Source organism: Homo sapiens, chromosome 12 (assembly GCF_000001405.40).
Source record: "Homo sapiens chromosome 12, GRCh38.p14 Primary Assembly".
NCBI lineage: Eukaryota > Metazoa > Chordata > Mammalia > Primates > Hominidae > Homo > Homo sapiens.
The window spans coordinates 46712119-46737611 of NC_000012.12; positions in this window are offsets into that span (position 1 = coordinate 46712119).

Here is a 25493-nt window from a genome sequence, read left to right on the forward strand (position 1 = left end):
TCTACCCAAAGAAAAATAAGTAAGTTTATTTTTAAACAAATATCTGCATTTGTATGTTTATTGCAGTATCCTTCCTATCCTTTATATTATCTTTGTCTAGTATTTAATTCTATACATATAGCAATTCCCACAAGGCATTTTTATAAATGCTTTGAAGAAATAATTTTAACTTAAATTTCCTCCCTCTAATACCCTTCATTCTTCTCTTCACCTCCATGTTTCCATCTTGGATCATTTTTTTTGAAATCAATTTTTTTGAAAAAATATCTTTGTGAGTTTTTTATTTCTGTAAAGGTTTACTGGCATGAGTTCTGTCCTTTTTTTGTCTAAAAACTATCTTTATTTCGTTTTCTTTTTTTAAAAAATATTTTTTCTACCTGGGCACAGTGGTGCACACCTGTAATCCCAGCAATGTGGGAGGCTGAAGCAGGAGGATCACTTGAGCCTAGGAGTTCGAGAGCAGCCAGGGAACATGGTGAGATGCTATCCCAAAAACCTTTTTTTGTTGTTGTTGACTTAAAAATATATTTTTTATTTTATTTATTTGTTTTTTATTTATTTTTGTTTGGTTTGGTTTGGTTTGGTTTTGAGATGGAGTCTCTCTTCGTCACCCAGGCTGGAGTGCAGTGGTGCGATCTCGGCTCACTGCAAGCTCTGCCTCCCAGGTTCACACCATTCTCCTGCCTCAGCCTCCAGAGTAGCTGGGACTACAGGTGCCCACCACCACGCCCAGCAAATTTTTTGTATTTTTAGTAGAGATGGGGTTTCACCGTGTTAACCAGGATGGTCTCGATCTCCTGACCTAGTGATCCGCCTGCCTCGGCCTCCCAAAGTGCTGGGATTACAGGCGTGAGCCACCATGCCTGGCCCTATTTCATTTATTTTATTTTGATTCAAGGGATGCATGTGCAGGTTTGTTACATGGATATGTTGTGTGATGCTGACATTTGGGCTTCTAAAGATCCTGCTGCCCAATTAGTGAACATAGTACCTGGTAGGTAGTTTTTCAACCCTTGCCCCCACTCCTGCCATCTCACTTTTTGGAGTCCCAGTATTTATTGTTCCCGGCTTTGTGATCATGTATACCAAATGTTTAGCTCTCACTTATAAGTGAGAACATGCAGTATTTGGTTTCCTGTTTCTGCATTAATTCACTTAAGATAATGGCCTCCAGCTGCATCCATGTTGCTTCAAAGGACATGATTTTGCTCTTTTTTATTGTTGTGTAGTATTCTATGGTGTATATGTGCCACATTTTCTTTATCCAACCCACCATTCACTTGCACCTGGGTACCATGTCTTTGCTATTGTGAATAGAGCTGTGATAAACATATGAGAGCAGGTGTCTTTTTGTTAGAATGATTTATTCTCCTTTGAGTGTATAACCAGTAATGAGATTGCTGAGTTCAACAGTAATTCTATTTTTAGTTCTTCAAGATATCTCCAAATTGCTTTCCACAGGAGCTGAAATAATTTGCATTTCCACCACCAGTGTATAAGCATTCCCTTTTCTTTGGAGCCTCATCAACATGTTACTTTCTGACTTTTAAAACATTTCCATATCTACATACATTTACTGAAATCCATGATTTCACACTATCTCCAATATCAATTCAACACCACAGTATTCATTCTAATTTTCTCCTTTTCCTCTCTTATTTTTTTAACTTTTATTTCAGGTTCAGGGATACATGTGCAATTTTGTTTTGTATATATATAATATTTCTATTGTTAAGTCAGCTCTCTTCTCTATTTCTCTCTCTCTCTCTCACTCTCTCTCTCTCTCTATATATATATATATATAAGAAATTGCATGTCACAGGTGTTTGGAGTACAGATTATTTGTCACCCAGGTAATAAGCATAGTACCCAATATGCAGTTTTTTTATCTTCACCCTCCTCCCACCCTCCACCCTCAAGTAGGCCCCAGTGTCTGATGTTGCCTTCTTTGTGTCCATGTGTACTCACTGTTTAGCTCCCACTTATAAATGAGAACATGTGGTATTTGGTTTTCTGTTTCTGTGATAGTTCACTTAGGATAATGGCCTCCATCTCCATTCATGTTCTCACAAAAAACATGATTTCATTCTTATTTGTGGCTTCATAGTATTCCATGGTGTTTATGTATCACATTTTCTTTGTCCATTCTACCACTGATGGACACTTAGGTTGATTCCATGTCTTTATTATTGTGCATAGTGCTGCAACAAACATACACATTGCTGTTTCTTGATGGTTTATGGCTTGCATCCTCACGAGTGGTGGTCTGAGCTGTATCTGAAGCCCTTTGAGCCAAGGCTAGAGTTGGAGTGGCTGGGATGTGAGGAGCAGTGTCCTGAGGATAAGCAGGGCAACAGTGCCTTGGCCCCTGAAACCACTCTTTCCTCCTGGGCTTCTGTACCCATGATGGGGAGGGCTGTCCTGAAGACTTCTGAAATGGCTTTGAGGGCTTTTTCCTCATTGTTTTGGATATTAGCATTTGGCTCCCTTTTGATCATACTAATCTCTCCAGAAAGTGTTTGTTCCACACATGCTTGGATTCTTTTTCTACCACAGAGCCTGACTGCAAATTTTCTGAACTTTTATGCTCTGCTTCTCTTTTAAATGTTACAACTTTAGGTCATTTCTTTACTCCTGTACCTGATTATAGGTTGTAAGAAGCAGCCACCCTACTTCTTGAATGCTTTGCTGCTTAGATATTTCTTCCACCAAATACCTTAAATCATCACTCTTAAGTTCAAATTTCCACAGATCCCTAGGACGTAGACACAATTCAACCAAGTTCTTTGCTGAGGCATGACATGGGTAACCTTTGTTCCACTTCCCAATAACTTCCTCAATTCCATCTGAGACCACATCAGCCTGGACTTCACTGTTCATATCTCTGTCAGCATTTTGGTCACAACCATTTAACCAGTCTATAAGAAGTTCCAAACATTCCCTCATCTTCCTATCTTCTTCTGAGCCTTCCAAACTCCTCCAACCTCTGCCCATTACCTAGTTCCAAAGCCACTTCCACATCATCAGGTATCTTTATAGCAATGCTCCATTCCTTGGTACCAATTTTCTATATTAGTCTGTTCTTGTGTTGCTATCAAGGAATACCTGAGACTGGGTAATTTATAAAGAAAAGTGGTTTATTTTGGCTCACAATTCTGCAGGTGAGACTGCATGGTGCTGGCATCTGTTCCTGGTGAGGGCCTCTGAAAGCTCACAGTCATGGTGGAAGGTGAAGAGAGAGCCTGCATGTCACATGACGAGAGCAAGAGAGCAAGGGATAAGTGGCACACTCTTTTAAAACAACTAGATCTTGCATGAACTAGCTGAGCAAGAACTCATTCATCACCAAGGGGATGGCGTTAAGCCATTCATGAGGGATCCACCACCATAATGCAATCACTTCCCACCAGGCCCCACTTCAAATATTGGGAATCACATTTCAACATAAGATTTAGAGGGGACAAACATCCAAACCATATCAGGGGCAGAAGCAATATTTTTGAATTTTCCCAAACTGACCAAAGATATCAAAACACATATTTTAAAGCCCTATGAGTCTAGGATAAATAGAAAGAAAACCACACCTACATGTACAATAATCTAATTGTTAAGAATCAGAAAGTTTTAAAAGCAGTTCAAAGAAAGACACATTACCTTTAAAGAAATGAAAATAATCCAAAGAGCTGACTTAACAATAGAAATAATGGAATCTGGAAGACAAAGATAACATTTTCAAAGTGTTGGTATCAAGTAAAAGCCAAACAAGTTTTATACCTAAAAAAAAGTTCTTGAAAGAACAAAGCTAGAGGCATGATATTAACTCACTTCAAACTATACTGCAAGTCTACAGTAACCAAAATAGCATTGTACTGGTACAAAAACAGACACATAAACCAACAGAACAGAATAGAGAGTCCAGAAATAAAGCTGCACACCTGCAATTATCTGATCTTTGACAAAGTTGAAAAAAATAAGCAATGGGGAAAGGACTCCCTATACAATAAGTGGGGCTAGGATAACTAGCAGTCCATATGCAGAAGAATAAAACTGGACCACTTCCTTACACCATATACAAAAATCAACTCAGGATGGATTAAAGACTTAAATGCAAAAGCTAAAACAATAAAAATCCTAAAAGATAACCTAGGAAATAGGTCCTGGCCAAGATTTCATAATGAAGATGCCAAAAGCAGTTGCAACTGTATTAGTCCATTTTCACACTGCTGATAAAGACATAACCAAGACTGGGCAAAATTTACAAAAGAGAGAGGTTTAATAAACTTACAGTTCCTCGTGGCTGGGGAGGCCTCACAATCATGGTAGAAGGTGAAAGGCACATCTCACATGGCAGCAGACAAAAGAAGAGAGCTTGTGCCGGGAAACTCCTCCTTATAAAACCACCAGATCTTCTGAGATTTATTCACTATCATAAGAACAGCATGGGAAAGACCTGCCCCCATGATTCAATTACCTCCCACCAGGTCCCTCCCACAACACATGGGAGTTCAAGATGAGATTTGGGTGGGGACACAGCCAAACCATATCAGCAACAACAAAAAAAAATTGACAAATGGGGACCTAATTAAACTAAAGAGATTCTGCACAGCAAAAGAAACTATCGACAGAGTAAATAGACAACCTACAGAATGGGAGGAAATGTTTGCTAACTATGCATCCAACAAAGGTCTAATATTCAGTCTATAAAGAACTTAAACAAATTAACAAGCAACAAACAACCCCATTAAAAAGTGGGCAAAGGACATAAACAGACACTTTTCAAAAGAAGACATACACACAGCCAACAATCACATGAAAAAATGCTCAGCATCACTAATCATCAGAGAAATGCAAATCAAATCATAATGGGATACCATCTCACACCAGTCAGAATGGCTATTACTGAAAAGTCAAAAAACAACAGATACTGGAGAGGTTGCAGAGAAAGGGGAATGCTTATACACTGTTGGTGTGAATGTAAATTAGTTCAGCCAGTATGGAAAGTGGTTTGGAGATTTCTCAAAGAACCTAAAACAGAACTACCATTCAACCCAGCAATCCCATTACTGGGTATATATCCAAAGGAATATAAATTGTTCTACCACCTTAACTGTAATTTTTGTCTTTCCAGGAGGTGAGATTTCTGAAAGCCTTTATCTTCTAAGATTGTTAACCATTGCTTTCTGCTTAGCTAATGCTGCTTATGCAAAACAAATGCCTCAAAGGAAAAAGTAGGGTAGACTATTGGACTCATTTCAATGATATTGATTTCTCTCTGGGATTTTGATCTGCAAGTTTTGGCCTTCTGGATACTTCTGCAGTTTCAAAAAGAAATTTTTAAAATTTAGTCCTGCTTTGCTTGTTTTCTTTGTGAGATGGTTGGTCTTCAACAACTTTTATATTATTTTTAAATGTTTGAATAATCAAAATAAATAAATTTCTTTAAATGTTGTTTTAAAGTACAAATGTGTGTTACTTATTTTTTAGAAACAGTTTTCTTTTAAAAAATAGTTTTTGAATAAGTGAATCATGGTGGTTTGTGCCTATAGTCCCAGCTATTTGTGTCATTGAGGTGGGATAATTGCTTGAGCCCAGGAGTTTGAGGCCAGCATGGGCAGTATAGTGACATACCATCTCTTAAAAAATAGTTTTTGAATAGAACTATTAGATATGTCTACCAATGTAATAAGCCAATTTATCAGAAAAACGTATACATTTTCATGATTTCCAGTGCCCCCTTTCCCTTTCAAAACTATCCTCAGTTGGAAATACAGCATTGTATAACAAAAATAATTGTAAATCTTAAAAACAGATGCCTGATTTGAATCACTTTAGTAGAGAGTCACAGCCTTTTATGCAAGTTCACTGACCGATAGTCCCTTGAGGAAGGTCCTTGCAGTAACGTCACAAGTACATGCTATAAATATGCTTCTTAGCTTATCGTATAAGAACCAAGTGGAGTTTCCTGGAGCTCTTCTTCCATAACAAATAAGAAACATGAAGCAATATTGTGTCCATTTAACTCCCCTGTGTGACTGTGAAGTATCATGAGCTTAATCATGTGCCATCTCTAATTGCAGTGACTATTCCTGGTCCCTGGTATGTGGCTATTATTCTGGTTATCAGCACCTTCCTCATTAGTCTATAGATTCATTCTATGCTATACAAATTAATTTTTGCATCTCAATTAAACTGTAACTCATATTTTACGGCGATCAACCTAGGAAAAATTAGAATCACTCCTGACTGCTCTAGCTAGCATATTAAATCCAAAATCTCTGAGTGCACTCATATCATTAAATTCAGCCAAGATAAATTATATTCCTCTTGCTTCAGTCTACTCTAGTACAATTGGAATTAATTTTCTCATATTTTCACCAATTTAGTTTTGTTATTTTTATTTATCCATATATATGGTAGGTTAAAGGAATGGCTACAATTTCTTTGCACCATCTCTATTAGGAGGTGGAGCGTATTATCCCACTTTTTGAAAATGAGCAGGCTTCTGAGTAGCTTTAATGAATAGGATATGGAGAAAGTGATACTATAAAAGTATCTAGGCTTCAAGAAGTGTGGCAGCTTCTGCTCTCACTGGGAAACATTCCATTACCATGCGAACATACCCATGCTAGCCTTTTGGAAAAAGAGAGTGTTTGAATCCATTGCCATCCCAGCCATGCCAGCTAAGGACCCAGAATGTAAGCATATCCAGCCACGAATAGCTGATCCTGGCCCAGACCAGAAAGATGACCCAGCTCTTCTCAGCCCAAATTGATAAGATGAACTCATGAGCTAGATAAAATTTTTATTTATTTTATTCAAGCCAATAAGTTTTGGGGTGGTATGTTATATAGCAATAGATAAATTAGCAAAATTTTATAATTTTTTTTTTAGCATGTAAGTGTTCTCTTGGATTTGACTTTGTGATTGGTTTCCTGGGGCATTCTGGAGACAAATCATGTATTGCTGTAGTTAAAAGTCTAAAGGCAATGAGAGGTGGTGCAGGTGGAACATGAGGAAAATAGGTCTTTTTTCAAGAAAGGAAAGGAAAATTTCAGGAAGGGAATGACGACGTGATTATTCTGCAGTTAAAGGGTGTTCAGCAGTGTTTGGGAAAACCCATCCCTCTCAAATGTCACCATTCTAATTCTCATGGTTTCTCTCTTTCTTAGTCAATGCTCTGCTTTCACATAAGAGATGTTGTAAGACTGAATTCTCCAACTCACATGATGAAACTCTGTGTTTGAGTTTTAGCAGCATCATTATTATTTTATTTTTTGTTTTTTATAATTTCAACTTTATTAGTATTTTAGATCCAGGGGCACATGTGCAGATTTGTTACATAGGTATATCACATGATGCTGAGATTTGGGATACGATTGATCCCATCACCCAGGTAGTCAGCATAGTACCCAATAGTTTTCAACCCTTTCACACCTCTTCCCCACCCAACTAGTAGTTCCCAGTATCTATTGTTGCTATCTTTATATCCATGAATACCCAATTTTTAGCTCCCACTTGCCACCAATGTGGTATTTGATTTTCTGTTCCTCTGTTAATTAACCTAGCATAATGGCCTCCAGTGCATCCACGTTGCTGTCAAGGACATGCTTTTGTTCTTTTTTATAGCTGTATAGTATTCCATGGTGTATATGTACCACATTTTCTTTATGCGACCCACTGTTGATGAGTACCTAGGTTGAGTCCATATCTTTTAGATACCTTATTCTTGAGATGAGATAAGAAATTCTTTTAGGGTAACCTAAGACATTCCCTAGTTCTCTGACCATGTTTTGATCCAAAAATTGACAATGCTGAGCCTTGAATTCTCTTTAAGCTCTGAAGTGCAGTTAGGAGCATCCAACCCTTGGTAAAGTTCTCATATTTCTTGTGCTTCTCATACTGTGCTGTAGAAGTAACCTCTAGCTTCCAAAATCATTTCCTCAACAGGCACTATTTCTGTATGGCTATAGGTGATAGTTTCAGGAATTAATTTTCTGCTGCATATTGTGAATGATAAGTATTTCATTCTTCAATGGCAACTGAGTCTTCACTATCCTCCAACCCAACCAGATCAGATAACCAGTCCTAGTCAGTCAAGGTACTATGGTCAGAGTAGCACATAACAGAATCTCTTCAAGACAGTTTCAGCAGAAAGAGATTTAGCACAAGGGATAGGTACTTATAAAATTTTGAAGGCGGAGGAAGCAGACTATAGGCTTAGCTTCCAGGAATGACTCCCACAATGATACTGCAGAAATTGCCCACTAAGTGAGCTTTTGTCTCTTTAACAATCAGGAAATTGGGGGAACAAGGAGCTGCCATCATGTTTGCTTGTCCCCCCAAATCTTTGCCAGGATGTGGACTAAGAATATGGACACCCTGCTCCTTGCCTCTCAACAGCCATAAAGCTAGGTGTGGTCCTGAGTGACTGGCTTCTCCTACAGCTGATACATCAATACCTCCAAGGCACTGTTTTACAGAAGTAACAGAAGCATAGCTTTGACCCCACTTGATATCCTTGAATCTCCCAAATCTCATGCAGGTATATCAGTTTGGTCCAAGCTACGGAACTAGCTGTACTATAAAAGAATTAGCAAAATATAGTCTTTCACTCTTCACCCTCTATTTCCTGACTACACAAAGTATATCTGTGGCGCAGTGGCATTGACATCATCTATAAGGGAATAGATATCAGCAAGCTATTCTGCAGAATGTAACACAAAGGTTAAAATGCATGTAATATGCCTAGTACAGTGCCAGTAAGATAGCTTACTCTCAATTCATGTTCATTGTAATTATTTTTGTTGTTATTGCCTGGCATTGCTCATTGGTGGGAAAAAAAAAAAAGCAGACACCAAGTTAAGGGGAGCCTGGAGTTTCTTCAGGCCAGAATAGCAACACACCTTTCCTTTTTTTTTTTTCTTCTAATTTTGCTACCAGTGCCTTGCTTATAAAAGACTCCCAAAATACCAATGCTGGAAGGGGGTTAGGTTTTGATGAGTAGCTTTTCGTACTGTCCCCTCCTGGTTATTAACTCTCTTCATCAATTATATCCCTCATTGGAAAAAAAAAATCTCCTCTCTCTATTTATGTCTCTCAGCTCTCTGGTCTCTCTCCCATCTTTATTCTCCTTCTCTTTGTCCCTTTTTCATGTCTTAAGAATAGGATTTTTAAAAGATTTGAGCCCAGGTGCAGTGGCTCACGCCTGTAATCCCAACACCTTGGGATGCCGAGACAGGTGGATCACATGAGGTCAGGAGCTCAAGACCAGCCTGGCCAACATGGTGAAACCCCATCTTTACTAAAAATACAAATTAGCCAGGCATGGTGGCAGATACCTGTAATCCCAGCTACTTGGGAGGCTGAAGCAGGAAAATCGTTTGAACCCAGGAGGCGGAGGTTGCAGTGAGCCGAGATCGCACCACTGCACACCAGCCTGAGCAACAGAGCAAGAGTCCATCTCAAAACAAAACAAAACAAAACAAAAACAAAACACCCACATTTGATAGTATTAATTTTCTAGAGTAAAGCCCTTTGAATTCAATATAATGATCTAATATTTGTAAAGCACTTAAAATACAGCCAGGCACATAGTAAGCCATGTTCAGATATTTGCTTTTATTTATTTACTTTTTTAAAAATGGACGTAATTTAGGCATACTCTGGGGCCCATCTTGCTTTATAGTAATTTTCTTTTAGAACTTCAGGAATTAAACCACTTTGGATGGTATCCAAGATAGACCTATTTTATACTAAATCTTGCTTTTCAGTGAAAAATATGAGAGGCTGATTTCAGAGTTACCAAGACTGAGATACTAAACCTCATTAATGCTGCAGCTAATATCTTACGGGGGAATAATTTGATGCTGAACATTAAGTCTAATATTATATAACTAAACCTCAGCATTATAAATAAATGTAACTCCATTGTTTTAGAAGCTAAATTTTTTATTTTTTGTAACACCTGGTTTCACACTTACCTGTACTTCTGCTTAACAAGATTGGATAGTGGTTTTCCAGAAAAAAAACAAGGAATAATTGAAAGAAAAAGTGCACACATATTCATCATGTATGTATTTGTATTGGGGACAATTTTAATCATCACCTAAGTGTGGGTTTTTAAAAAGACCTTGAAGACAGCAAGAGTGCAGAGGCACACTGGCAGAGAACAGGCACTTGCTAGTCTGAGACGATATGCCAGAGGCGGTGTTCGAGGAACATTCTGGAAAGCCCAAGACTGGAATGCCTTGTTGATTGTGCTTTCATTTAAGACTGGCAGTGGGCAGGGGCAGGGGTAATGGGTGGAAAACCCTGAGTGTGACTCACCTGTGGTCTTCACAACTATTAGCTGCTTTCTTTTACTGAACTTCAAGCACACTTGGGCTTAATAAGGCTGTTTTATGGTCTTTTTGTCTGCTCATGCTTCCTAATGTTTTCTTCAGCTGTGACTGGCCCATGTGGACAATGTGTGCAGGGCTCTGAGATGGCCATTTTATCTCTTTGGTCCCTTCAAAGGAGGGTTTTACAACCTCTGCCTCTCAGCTTTTGAATGTGAGGAAGTGATCATTTTAAACAAAGGTGGAAATAGACCTCAAACTTGGCACCTTCCATGTTATATTTAACCACTTCAGGAGTAAACAGGATGGAAAATAGGTAAGAATGACCATTAGCAGAAACTTGATTTAAAAACCAACAAATCCTGATGTTTGCAAACCATACGATACACAGAAGTGCGTACATTGTAAAGTAAGTCTTGCAGGGATGGTGATGAAAACGTACAAATGATTTGTGGCTATGCAAGGATTCAGCTGTTTTCTCAGACCTGGCAGGGCTCCATCCAGTGCAGTCAGCATGACTGGCAGATGGCTGCCTAACAGGATGACCATTTAGCCCTATTTTCTGAGACAGTCCTGATTTGTGCATATTTCCTCTGCATGCATGCAGTTAATAGCCCCATTCACTCTCAAACATGTCCAGATTTGGATAAGACATCTTATGGCCAACTTATTTATAAACAAATAAGAGTCAGGAAAGTGTCACACTAGGATGTGGAACACCTGCTCTTACCCAATAGAGTTCCAGTAGTTCTGAGTTCTGAGAAATTTTTGTGATTTCTGCTAATTGAATTGGGGACTTAATTGAATCTTAGTGACAATGGCGGAGGGAGTAGGGGAGGAAGAGTCTCTTCTCACTAATCTGTAGCATCCTGAGCACTGTACCCTCCCTGCAGCTTTCCCCTAAACTATACAAGATCAGAGCATTGGCACCATTTTACTCCTTTCCTATCTCCGAGCTTCCTCTGCTTTGTCTTCTAGATCCTGTTGCTGCTGCTGCTCCTCTTCCTCCTTGAAAACATTGTTCCAAATTATTTTAAAATTATATTTTCTATTTTAGGAATCTTTGCTCAACCATTAGAATACATGTCACAGCTGCACCATGAGGAGTTATTTGTCTTAATTATATACTTTACTAATTACTTGTTCTCTATTTTTTGTATCCCATGTCCCGCTCTTTCTTGGATTACACTTTTATTTGAGTAATATTTTCAGAAGGATATGTGGGTGGCAAAACTTCTAAATTGCTTGCATGTTGGAAATGCTCTTCGTTTTGCCTTCAGACTTGAATGATAATTCAGCTTGTAGAGTTTCCAAATCCCTTTCCTTCAGAATATCTTGGCTGTTTCTTCAGGGTTTTCTAGCATCTCCTCTTGCTGAGCAGCAGTCTGGTGCCAGATTTATTCTAAGTCCTTTGTAACTTTCCTCCTACCCCTCCCCCTCTTTGAAAGGCTGTATCATCTTATTTTTAACCTTGGAATTCATAAAAATCACTAAAATGTGTTTCTTCATATTTGCGTGAAGCACATGGCAGGCCCTTTTGATCTGAACACATACTTTTTCTTTAGCAAATGAAAAGTTCTTCCATTATTTCTTTGATTTTATTTTTCCATCCACACTCATTTTACTAGGTAAATACTGGATCTCTGGATATAGCTTCATTTTTCTTAACTTTTCTCTCACAGCTTTCATTTTTCCTTTTTTTTTTTTTTTGACCGTGTTCTTGGAATAGTCCTTAAGAGTAAGCTTCCTGGTGGCTAAGTATGCCTTTAGCCCTCTCCATTCTTCAATTCAGTCCTTGTACTGAGATTTCATCATAGCAAACAGATTTTAACTTCCAAGAATTATTTAGTGTTCTCAGGCTTAAATTTCATACTATTTCTTTCTCATTTAATGGGTGCAATTTTCTTGAATTCTCAGAAAACATTTCTGTAATTAATTGTTAGGATTTATTTAATTTTTTCATTAACTGTGCTTTCCTTGTGGTTAATTTCCCTATTTATGTCATCTATTGGCTTGCTTTCTTTTTTTTCTCAAATGTCACAGCCAGGTTCTCTTGTTAGTGAGTGGGTCTGTGTCACTGGTGGGTTTCCTCTGAAGGCCAGAGAAGCTCATTTTCTTAGTTAGGGGCTCCCTGTCTATAGTGAAGCCAGAAGTGACTTGGAGCTTTACCTTACTTCTCTCTTCAGCCCCAGGGCTCATGCTGGGCATTCCTAGAACTAAACTCTATTATTTGCAGAGGTATTTTCAGGCCTTAGACCCCTTAGACTGGGAATAAATGCTATACATAACTGCTTAGAAAGTGGATTTCCTACAAAAATTAGCCAAGTGTGGTGGCACGTACCTGTAGTCCCAGCTACTCGGGAGGCTGAGGGAGGAGAATCACTTGAACCTGGGCGGTGGAGGTTGCAGTGAGCCAAGATCACACCACTGCACTCCAGGTGGGTGACAGAGTGAGACTCCATCTCTCAAAAAAAAAAAAAAAGAAAGAAAGAAAGTGGATTTCCCCACTCTATTAGGTTTTGCCAATACCCAAGACCATCTGTTTTATACCTTAGAGAAATTCCTTAATATTCTGGTCTCCTAATGGCACAACTTTCTGGTTTTCCAGTGCTTCTAAGATTTGTTCTTTTTCTTCTTCTTCTATGATGTTTAGAGAAAGCAGTAAGTTTTCTTTAAGACACACCAACTCAACAACTATGCTAATCCCAAGTAAAGTTTGCCCAAGGTTCAGATTACGCCTCTTGTAATGTGCTTCCATTTGTCATATTCTAATTGTATCTCTAATTTTTCTAATTTCGATTCATTTATGTTAGGACTTGTAATTCCTCCTCTCTCCCATGCTGCCTCTCCCCACGACACCTCCTGCCAAATTAGTCTGAGCTTCTGCCTAGACTTCAGCATGTTAAGTAGGAAAGTCATAGTGTTCAGGTTAAAATAACTCTTATGTCAGGATCCCAATTTCACTGCTGATTAGTTGTATAATTTTGGCTGTTTTTGAAATTCACTTTTCTTTTACATAAAAATGAAAGTAGTAATAAGTATCTCTCAGTGTTATGAGGAGTACATGAAAGTGAAATTGCTTGCCGCATAGGAGTCACTCAAAAACTCTTAGTTTTCTTTCCCCTTCCCGTGAGGACAGGATCTGTGTCTTCTGCTTTCCTTCTGTCTCCCAAATACTTAGCACAGTTCTGAAAATAACTGATTATTCAAAAAGTTCCTCTTTTCCAACAAAATTTAATATTTTAATTGCATATTGAATTTTATTTTTTAATTTTTATTGTAATTTGACAAATTATAATTGCATATATTTATGAGGCACAAAACATATTCCTCCTGTCTAAAATATTTTTATTCTTAATTGACAGATTGCACATATTTATGAGGTAAAATGTGATGTTATGATACATGCATACAATTAGAATAATTAAATCTAATTTACATATCTATCACCTCATGTACTTATCATTTTTGTGATGAGAACATTTGTAATTTACTCTCTTAAGAACATTGAAATATACAGTACAATATTATTAACTACAGTTACCACGCTGTGTGATAGATCTCAGAAACGTTTTCCTTCTGTCTGACTGAAACTTCGTACTCTTTGATCAACATCTTCCCTCTCCCCATTCAACCCATAGTCTTTGTTAACCACCATTCTACTTCCTGCTTCTATGAATGCTACTATTTTAGATTCCACAAAAAAGTGAGATGATGTAGTAGTTGTCTTTCTGTGTCAGGTTTATTTTATTTAGCATAGTGTCCTCCAGATTCATCCATCTTGCCACAGATGACAGAATTTCCTTCTTTTCTAAGGCTGAACAGTATTTCATTTAGCATATAAGCCACATTTTCTTTATCCATTCCTCCACTGATAGACATTTAAGTTGATTTCACATCTTGGTTATTCAGAATAATGCTGTAATAAACATGGGAGTGCAGATATCTTTTTGCCATATTGATCTCCTTTCTTTCCCCAGTAATGGGATTCCTCAATCTTATGGTTGTTTTCTTTTTAGTTTTGTGAGGAGCCTCCATAGAGTTTTACACAATGGCTATACTAATTTACATTTCCAACAATAGTGTACAAGGCTCTCTTTTCTCCACATTCTTATCAATACTTGTCTTTCATTTTTTATGATAAAAGCCATCCTAAAAGATGTGAAGTGATAGTTCATTGTGGTTCTTATCTCACACAAAATATAAAAATCAACTCAAAATGGCTTAAAGACTTAACCATACATCTGAAATTATAATACTACTAGAAGAAAACATATGTGAAAAGCTTTTGACATTGGCCTAGGCAATAATTTTTTGAATATAACTCCAAAAGAACAAGCAACTAAAGAAAAAGTAGACAAAAATACACAATGGGATTTCACCAATCTAGACAGCTCATGCATAACAGAGGAAACAATTAACAGAATGAATAGGCAACCTATCAATTGAAAAAAAAGTTGCAAACCATACATCTAATAAGAGATCAGTATCCAAAATACATAAGGAACTCAAACAGTACAATAGCAAAAAAACAAATAAACTGATTTAAAAATGGGGAAAGGGCCTAAATAGATATTTCTCCATTTCTTAAAAGAAGACATAAAAAAATCAAAAGGTATGTGAAAAAATTATTAACATTACTAATCATTAGTGAAATGCAATTTGAAACCACAAAAAGTACTTTTGACTGGTTGCCTCCAGTTGCCAGATAAAGTGAAAGGTCAGTGTATTATTCAGGGTTCACTAGAGGGACAGAACTAATAGGATATACACATACATATATATGAAAGTTTATTAAATAGTATTAACTCACATGATGGCAAGGTCTCACAATAGGATATCTGCAAGCTGAGGAGCAAGGAAGCCAGTGAGAGTCCCAAAGCTGAAGAACGTGGAGTCCAATGTTTGAGGGCACGAAGCACCCAGCATAAGAGAAAGATGTAGGCTGGGAGGCTAAGCCAGTCTAGCCTTTAAACATTTTTCTGCCTGCTTTATATTCTGGCCATGCTAGCAGCTGATTACATGGTGCCCACCCAGATTAAGGGTGGGTCTGCCTTTCCTGGCCCACTGACTCAAATGTTAATCTCCTTTGGCCACACACTTACAGACATATCCAGGATCAGTATTTTGCATCCTTCAATTCAATCAAGTTGACACTTAGTATTAACTGTCACAAATCCACCTCTTATCAACTTGAACCCATATATGTCTCCTGAGATCATAATCTTCAAATAGAGACAATAATAAGGTCATAATTACACCTAACATAATACAACTATCCTTCGTACCACCAGAAATGTACCAATCCCCAACCCAAATACTATTATATAACATTAACAATACTTAAATGCTGATATGAAGTCAATAAAACTTATGTCACATGATAAAGGAAACAGGAAATAAAATGAAGATATTTTCTTAGTACAAGTGTATACATGCAAAAAAATTTTTAACAAAAGAAGGTGGAAATACTTATGACAATTACAGTCCTTGTTTCTGCAGATGGTCACATGATCATAGCTGGTATTGATGACTACCTTCATCTACTACCCATTTTGTATTCTCTTGGCCTTCAGCAAACACCTCAGCAGGTCATTTTTGTTTTCGTTTTGTTTTTTTTTTCCTGGTGGAGTGATCCAAACCTTCATTCCTGAAGGGTCTGGGTTATTTGTAGCCTTGCCTGGAATAAGCTGCTGTAGCTTCCCATTGACCTTAATCACAGGGCATGGTAATACTAAGAGATGCCCTCATGGATCTCTGATATTCCATGTATACTCTTCCTTACCTTCGTTGTGGAGTAGTAGACTGATTTCATCTTGATAGTTCAGGTCAGTCACCTCAACCAGCACTTCTTAGCCTGTTGACTTAAAGGTAGGAGGAGCCCAAAGTGTTCAGGTGGCAATCTTAACTTCCAGTTTAATGAAATTGTTGTTGTATCTCCTAGTGGCAGCGTAACTCCCTCTGGAACTAAGACCTCTAGGCCAGCAGAATGGAATGTTGTTAGAACAGGAAGCAAAAATTTTGCTAGTGGATCACTAGGAGTGATGGTAAGTGGGGCCACTTCCACTTCCACCCCTTGATTCCTGGACCCATGAATCTTGGCTATGGGAGAAATGGTACCATATACTGGATGCTGATTCAGAACATACACGACCTTCTGGAGAACTTTGCACAGCCCTGCAAAGTATTGTCACCTAGTTGACATTGTAATTGTGATTTCAGAAGGCCATTCCACCATTCTCTCAATGCAGCTGCTTCAGCATGATAGCGAACATGGTAAGACCAGTGAATACCATGAGCATGAGCCCACTGCCACACTTCTTTAGCCATAAAGTCAGTGCCTTGGTCAGAGGCAATGCTGTGTGGAATACCATGATGTTGGATAAGGCATTCCATGAGTCCACGGATGGTAGACTTGGCAGAAGCATTGCATGCAGGATAGGCAAGCCCATGTCCAGATTAACTGTCTATTCCAGTGAGGAGAAACCTCTGCCCTTTCCATGATGGAAGAGGTCCAATATAATTCACCTGCCACCAGGTAGCTGGCTGATCACCCCTAGGAATGGTACCATATTGAGGGCTCAGTGTTGGTCTCTGCTCCTGGTAAATTGGCACTCAACAGTGGCCGTAGCCAGGTCAGCCTTGATGAGTGGAAGTCCATGTTGCTGAGGCCATGCCTAACCTCCACTCCTGCCACCATGGCCACTTTGTTCATGGGTCCATTGAGCGATGTCAGGGGTGGTTGGGGAAAGAGGCTAAGTGGTGTCCACAGAACAGGTCATCCTATCCACTTGATTATTAAAATCCTTCTCTGCTGAGGTCACCCGTTGGTGAGCACTCACATGGAATAAAGATATCATGACAGTTTTTGACCACTCAGAGAGGTCCATCCACATACCTCTTCCCCAGATTTCTTTATCACCTATTTTCCAATCATGCTTCTTCCAAGTCCCTGACCATCCAGCCAAACCATTGGCTACAGCCCACGAATCAGTGTATAATCACACATTTGGCCATTTCTCCTTCCAGGCAAAGTGCACAACCAGGTGTACTGATTGAAGTTCTGCCTACTGGGAAGATTTCCCTTCACTGCTGTCCTTCAGGGATGTCCTAGAAAGGGGCTGCAGTGCTGCAGCTGTCCACTTTTGGGTGGTGCCTGCATATTGTGCAGACCGTCTGTGACCAGGCCCTAGTCTTCTTTTCCTCGGCCAACTGACCATAGGGAACTCCCTTTGAGGCTATCGGTGCAGGCTCGGGGACAGAAGGGCAGGTGGCAGGAGTGGAGACCATGGACATTTGAGCCACTTTCTCATGTAACTTTTGCCTCCAGGACCTGCTGGAGCCTGATCACGTATATACCACTTGTGTTTGATGATGGAATGCTGTTGTGCATGACCCACTTTATGGTTAGATAGGTCAGAAAGCACCCAGCTCATGATAGGCAGTTCAGCTCATATGGTACTTGATGACCCATGGCCAAATGTCCAATTTCCACCTTAGCCCATTAACAGGCCAAGAGCTGTTGCTCAAAAGGGGGGTAGTTATCTGCAGAAGATGGCAGGGCCTTGCTCCAAAATAGAGGCCTCCACTGTGATTCACCTATGGGGGTCTGCCAAAGGCTCCAAATAGCATCCCTATTTGCCAATAACACCTCAGGCACCATTGGATCTACTGGGTCATATGGTCCAAGTGACAGAGCAGCTTGCACAGCAGCCTAGAACTGTTGCAGAGCATTCTCTTTTTGTGGACCCCACTCGAAACTGGCAGCCTTTCAGTTCACACAAATGAGGAATATATTGCCTTCAGAATCCAAATAGGGCTACTAGGCATTGTGCTAAAGATGCACAATGGTTGTAGAAGGGGCCAAATCCAGCAACTTATCCTTCACTTTAGAAGGAATACCTCAAAAAGCCCCACATCACTGGACCCCTTGAAATTTTACTGAGGTAGAAGGTCCTTCAATTTTAGTCGGATTTATTTTTTTTTCCTCTGTCATGGAAATGTCTCACCAGTCAGTCCAGTGTGTTTGCTACTTCTTGCTCATTGGATCTAATCAGCATAATGTTACCAATGTAATGGACCAGTGTGATATCTTGTGGAAGCAATAGGTGATCAAGGTCTCTTGGAATAAGATTATGACATAAAGCGGGAGAGTCGATATAACCCTGAGGCAGGACAGTAAAGGTATATTGCTGGTCTTGCCAGCTGAAGGCAAATTGCTTCTGGTGAGCCTTATGGACAGGAATGGAGAAAAAGGCATTTGCCAAGTCAATGTCTGCATACCAGGTACCAGGAGATATGTTAATTTGCTCAAGCAATGAAACCACATCTGGTACAGCAGCTGTAATTGGAGTCACCACATAGTTAAGCTTATGATAATCCACAGGCATTCTCCAAGACCCATCTGTCTTCTGCACAGGCCAAATGGGAGAATTGAATGGGGATGTGGTGGGAATCACCACCCCTGCATCTTTCAAGTCCTTGATGGTGGGACTCATCTACACAGTCCCTTTAGGGATGCAATATTGTTTTTGATTTACTAGGTTGAGGCAGCTCTAATGGCTTCCATTTGGCCTTTTCCACCATCATCACCCTCACTCTACCAGTATGGAGTCAATGTGGGCGTTCTGCCAGCTGCTAAGTATGTCTATGCCAATTATGCATTCTGGCACTGGGGAAATTACCACAGGATGATTCTAGGGACCCACTGGACCCACTGTAAGTCAAACCTGAGCTAAAAGTTTATTAATTGCTTGACCCCCTATAAGCCCCTACTTAACTGGAGGAACACAATGACATTTTGGGTCCCCTGGAATCAAAGTCAGCTCAGAGCCAGTGTCCAGTAGTCCCTGAAATGTCTGATCATTTTCTTTTCCCCAGTGCACATGTACCCTGGTAAAATGCTGGAGGTCTTCTGGGGAAGGATAGGAGAAAGATTAAGGGCATAAATTGTTGGTTGTGCAGTGGGGTCCTTCCTCAAGGGGACCTGGCCTCCCCTTCATTCAAGGGGTTCTGGGTCTGTAAACTGGCTCAAGTCTGGAAATTGATTGAGGGGTTGTGATTCTCTGTTTTTATAATTCAAATTAGTCTTTTGTCCATTTGACCTGGAAGTTTTCTGCTTATATAAATTAAGTAGGAATGCAGGGCCAGGAACTGCGGCTCACATCTGTAATCTCAGCACTTTGGGAGGCTCAGTTGGGCAGATCACCTGAGGTCAGGAGTTTGAAGCCAGCCTAGCCAACATGGTGAAACCCCATCTCTATTAAAAATACAAAAACATTGAACAATGAGAACACATGGACACGGGAAGGGGAACATCACACACTGGGACCTGTTGTGGGGTGGGGGGAGGGGGGAGGAATAGCATTAGGAGATACACCTAATGTTAAATGACAAGTTGATGGGTGCAGCACACCAACATGGCACATGTATACATATGTAACTAACCTGCACATTGTGCACATGTACCCTAAAACTTAAAGTATAATAAAAAAATAGAAAAGAAAAAAATACAAAAAAAAAAGTGGTTGTGGTTTGTGCACCTGTAGTCCCAGCTACTCAGGAGGCTGGGGCAGGCGAATTGCTTGAACCTTGGAGGCAGAGGCTGCAGTGAGCCCAGATCACACCACTGCACTCCAGGCTGGGTGACACACTGAGACTCCATCTCAAAAAAGAAATGCAGTAGGATTCCTATCAATTTCACTTCTAGGAACACCATGATTAATTAACCAATGCCGTAGTCTGACACGAGTCAGACTATTCCGATTGCTGCTTTGCCTGTGCTGTCCATTACAGTAGCTACACCCACCTTACCTTTGAAGGTTGACTGCCACCAATTGGCCCCTGCCACCTCTGGATTCAATTATTCCCATTGTATTTAAATTTTATAGTTCAGTGACTAGTTCCCAGTGTTAGATCTGACATAAGGAAAAGAGCAATTACAGGTCTCCTCAAAAATGCAGGTGCTGCTCTCACAAATCTATTTCGCAAAGCATTGGTTAAGAGTGTATCTTCTAGACCCTCCCAGCTGGGATGAGTAGGTCTAAAGTGACTGATTCACTCCACCATCCCAATCTCCCTAAGCCTTTGGATCCCTTCCTCTACATTAAATCAAGGGAGATAAGGCATTTCCAGCTCACTCACAGTGGGCCATCTTTTAATCCATATGACAGCTAACCAAGAAAATAAACTATTAGAACCTTTTTAAACCCCCCATGCTGCAATGTTAAATGCAGAGTCTCTACTTAGTGACCCCAAATCAATACATTTAGCCTGATCCAACTCTATTTTTCTTCCACCATTATCTCACACCCTTAATATCCATTCCCATGCCTGTTCTCCAGTTTCCTGCTTATATAAGTTAGAAAACTCAAACAGTTCTTTTTGCATGTAGCACACCTCCTCATGGGTCAGACTCTGAACCTCACCTCTAGGGGCCCTCCAGGACTTTAGTCTAGTTATAGGCCTAGAAGCAAACAGGGGTGTTGGGGGGTGGTTTCTGAGGAGAATCAACATTATCTTGCCTGGCAACTGCCACAGGGAAGGCCATCACTGTTGCTTCAGGCAGCCCAGGGTTTATCTCCTCATACAAAGGTGGAAAGGCTGATGGCAACATGGGTTAGGGAGAGGATGTTGCTGCTACTGGGGATGGGGAAGCCGTTTCTTCTGGTAAAAAAGGTTAATCAGAGTTCACAAACTCAGTGTCCCCAGCTTCATCAGGGTCCTCCCACATGTCCCCATTCCAAGTTTCAGGGTCCCATTCTTTTCCAATCAATGCCCTCACTTTAAAGTAGACACCTGGTGAGGCTGTACGTGCATCTTTCATTGCAGGTCAGCCACTCACATGATAAGAGCTTGTGTCTGTTTCCCCACAATTTCAGCTGTTTCTCTACAGCAGATAAGACTCTCACTCAGGGCAATCTTAGTAGATTTAAGACTCATATCTCAAGTATCTGCTTCTGAAGCTAGCAGTTAGAATCTCTGAATTCATCATTTTCTTTCATCACTTTGTTGAGTGAACTTAGGAGCAACCAACCAACTTTTCTTCTTCATTATGTTCCTTGGTTCTCCACATATATTCAAAGGCATTATGTATAGAGTAACTAAACTCCTTGTCTCTCATGAGTGGTGATTCAGGCATGTCAAATGCATTTATTTTGCATAACTCTCTAAACAGTTCATACCAAGGACTATCAGTGTTCTCCATACTATTAGAAGTAGAGTCCTTAGCATTTTTGGGTCTAATCATATTAAGCAGCCAACTCCAGAAACCCCAAAACCAATGAAAAAACTCCATCCTTAATATTCTGTTTCTCTAGAACCACTCTTGGTACCAAAATCTGTATTATTCAGGGTTCTCTAGAGGGACAGAATTAATAGTATACATAAACTCCTATATATATAAGAGTTTACTAAGTAGTATTAACTCACATGATCACAAGGTCCTACAATAGGTCATCTGCAAGCTGAGGAGCAAGGAAGCCAGTCTGAGTCCCAAAGCTGAAGAACCTGGAGTCCAATGTTCAAGTACAGGAAGCATCCAGCACAGGAGAAAGATGTAGGCTGGGAGGCTAAGCCAGTCTAGCCTTTTCACATTTTTCTGCCTGCTTTATATTTTGGCCATGGAGGTAGCTGATTTGATGGTACCCACCCAAGTTAAGGGTGGGTGTACCTTTCCCAGTCCACTGACTCAAATGTTAATCTCCTTTGGCAACACCCTCGAAGACACACCCAGGATCAATACTTTGCATCCTTCAATCCAATCAAGTTGACACTCATTATTAACCATCACAGTAAGCATTTTTTACAATATGTTTAGTATGTGCTAGGCACCATGCTGAGTACTTCACATGCATTGACTCAGTAATCTACAAAAAGTATTGTTAGCTAGAACTTACAGTTGAGGAATTTGAGGCATAGATAATTTGATAATTTAGGAAAGTTTTCCAAAGTTACAAAGGCAGTAAGTGGCAGAATCAGTATTCCAACTCCTGCAACTTCAGTTTATAGTCCTTATGTTTAACCTCTGCACGACACTGTTTCTTTTCTAGTCGATCAAATATGTTCATTTTTAACATTTTTTTACTAATTATTACCTCTATGCAGATATATGTACAAATTCCCTCTATTCCTGTCTTTCCTCACCCACCTCCCAGACTTACGCTTCTCAGCCAAGCTGCATCTTTCTCCACATCACTCAAGATTCACTTTTCATTTTTTTCAAAGATGGTGGATTAGAGGCTTTTAGCATTTTTCAGCCACCTGGAAACAGAAAAATAGTGCATCAAGATCAACTCTGTGAGCTTTCATTCAAGAAAAAAAAAATAGTAATCCGCTGGAATCATGAAGGACATCCTAGATCTTAGGGAGAAGAATATGGACAAACAACCTCCATGGCAGTGTCTAGCTGATAAAAAGAGTGTGTTGAGGCACAACCATCCTCACCCCACACCAAGGCAGATCTTCAGGCATTCAGGGCATCTGTTTATCCAGTTAACAGCCTGAGGCACCCCTCTCATCCTGTGCAGAGAATTTGGTGTAGTGTAGGAGCCCCCTACACTTCATGCCCAGGAAAATCTCCACACATCTGACGTACCCATTCTCCTGGATTTTGAGTTTAGGCTACCTTCACTTCCCATGCAGAGCAATTGGGGCCAAGGAGTTTTCCTAGCTTTATGCCTAGGCACATCTCTGGGTGCTTGGTGGCCACCCGCTGGATTCTCCTTCAGTACTAGTGCTTGTGACTTCCATCGGGGACCTATAGATGGTTCTGTCTGGTTCAGCCCCATCCATCTTGCCCCCACCCCTGGGCTGAGCAGGGTGCTCAGACCACTGTGCACTCCAGGATCAGCCCATTGCCTGAGGTAACAGAGAACTTCTTCCAATAAAGAAGGATCAAGTATGTACCCAACCCTATTGGCTGCAGCCAACTCTTACCTATAAGAATAATCTATGACCTCTAGGTCAAACTGCATAGCCCAATATAAAACTTGCTAATAGAGGTTTATAGGGCTATAGAAACAAAGCCAAAAGACCGTATCCAGAATTCTCTCCAGTTACACCCCCTAGGGAAGTGGGGAAAAAGAAAGAAAAAAATATTATATGGGAAAAAAGAAAGAAAAAACATCTTGTCCATATGAAAATAATTACAAAAATTAGAAGTGCCAGCATCTCCAGATGACAAGAAATCAGTGTAAGAATTCCAGCATCACAAAAAATCTGAATGTTGTGATACCACCAAAGGATCACACTAACTAGCCAATGATAATCCATAACCAAAATAGAAACTCAGAAATGACAGATAAAGAATTCAAAGCATGGATTGCAAGGAAGCACAACAAGATCCAAGACGAGGTTGAAAATCAACACAAAGAAACTTCTAAAGCAATCCAGAAAATGAAAAAAGGGATAAACATCTTAAAAAGAAATTAGTCAGAGCTTCTGGAATTGAAAAACTTACTTAAGGAATTTCAAAATACAACTGAAAGCTTTATCAATAAACTGGACCAAGCAGAATAAATAATTTCAAAGTTTAAGATTGATCTTTTAAACTAACACAGACAGAAATTTAAAAATGAGCAAAATCTTCAAGTAATATAAAATTATGTAAAGTAGCCAAATGTATGAATTATTGACATTCCTGAGAGACAAGGAGAAAAAGTAAACAACATGGAAACATATTTGAAGGAATAGTTCTAGAAAATATCCGTATTTTTGCCAGAGAGATAAACATCCAGATACAAGAAATCCAGAGAACACTTGCTAGATACTTTACAAAATGAGCATAACAAAGGCATATGGTCACCAGACTGTCTGAGGTCAATGGTAAAAAAAAAAATCTTAAAGACAGCTAGAAAAAAATGGTCAGATGACTTTTAAAGGGAAACTCTATTAGGCTAACACTGGACTTCTCAGCAGAAACCTTATAAGCTGAGAGAGATTGGGGGCCTATTTTTGGCATTCTTAAAGTAATTCCAACCATGAATTTTATATTCCATCAAACTAAGCTTTGTCAGCAAAAAGAAATAAAATCTTTTCTAGACAAGTAAATGCTAAGGAAATTAATTATTTTTAAACCAATAAACCAGCCTTACGAGTGATTTTTTTTTTTTTTTTTCTGAGACGGAGTCTTGCTCTGTCACCCAGGGTGGAGTGCAGTGGGACGATCCCAGCTAACTGCAATCTCCACCTCCTGAGTTCAAGCGATTCTCCTGCCTCAGCCTCCTGAGTAGCTGGACTATAGGTGCCTGCCACCATGCCCGGCTAATTTTTGTATTTTTAGTAGAGATGGGGTGAGTTCTAAGAATGCCACCACAAGACTCACCTAAGCACATAGCTCACAAACTCTATAAAGCAACCACACAGTAGAAAGTACAAAGCAACCAACTAACAACTTCATGATAGGATTCAAACCTCATATATCAATATTAACTATGAATGTAAATGGTCTGAATGCCCCACTTAAAAGAGATAGAATGGCAAATTGAATTTTAAAAAGACCCATCCATCTGCTGTCAAGAGACCGATTTCAGGTTCTGTTCCAAGATGGCCAAATAGGAACAGCTCGGTCTGCAGCTCCCAGCGTGATCAATGCAGAAGACAGGTGATTTCTGCATTTCCCACTGAGGGACCTGGTTCATCTCACTGGGACTGGTCAGAAAGTGGGTGCAGCCCATGGAGGGTGAGCCGAGGTGGGGTGGGGCATTGCCTCACCTGGGAAGCACAAGGGGTCAGGGGAGTTTCCTTTCCTAGCTAAGGGAAGCTGTGACAGACTGTACTGGGAAAATCAGGACACTGCCACCTAAACACCATGTTTTTCCAATGGTCTTAGCATACAGCACACCAGGAGATTATATCCCACACATGGCTCAGTGGGTCCCACAACCAAAGTGCCTTGCTCACTGCTAGTCCGAGATCGAACTGTGAGGCAGCAAGCCTGGCTGGGGGAGGGGTATCCGCCATTGCTGAGGCTTGCCTAGGTAAACAAAGCACCAGGAAGCTCGAAGTGGGTGGAGCCCATCGCAACTCAACGAGGCCCGCCTGCCTCTGTAGACTCCACCTCTGGGGGCAGGGCATAGCTGAATAAAAGGCAGAAGAAACTTCTACAGACTTAAACGTCCCTGTCTGACAGCTCTGAAGAGAGTAGTGGTTCTCCCA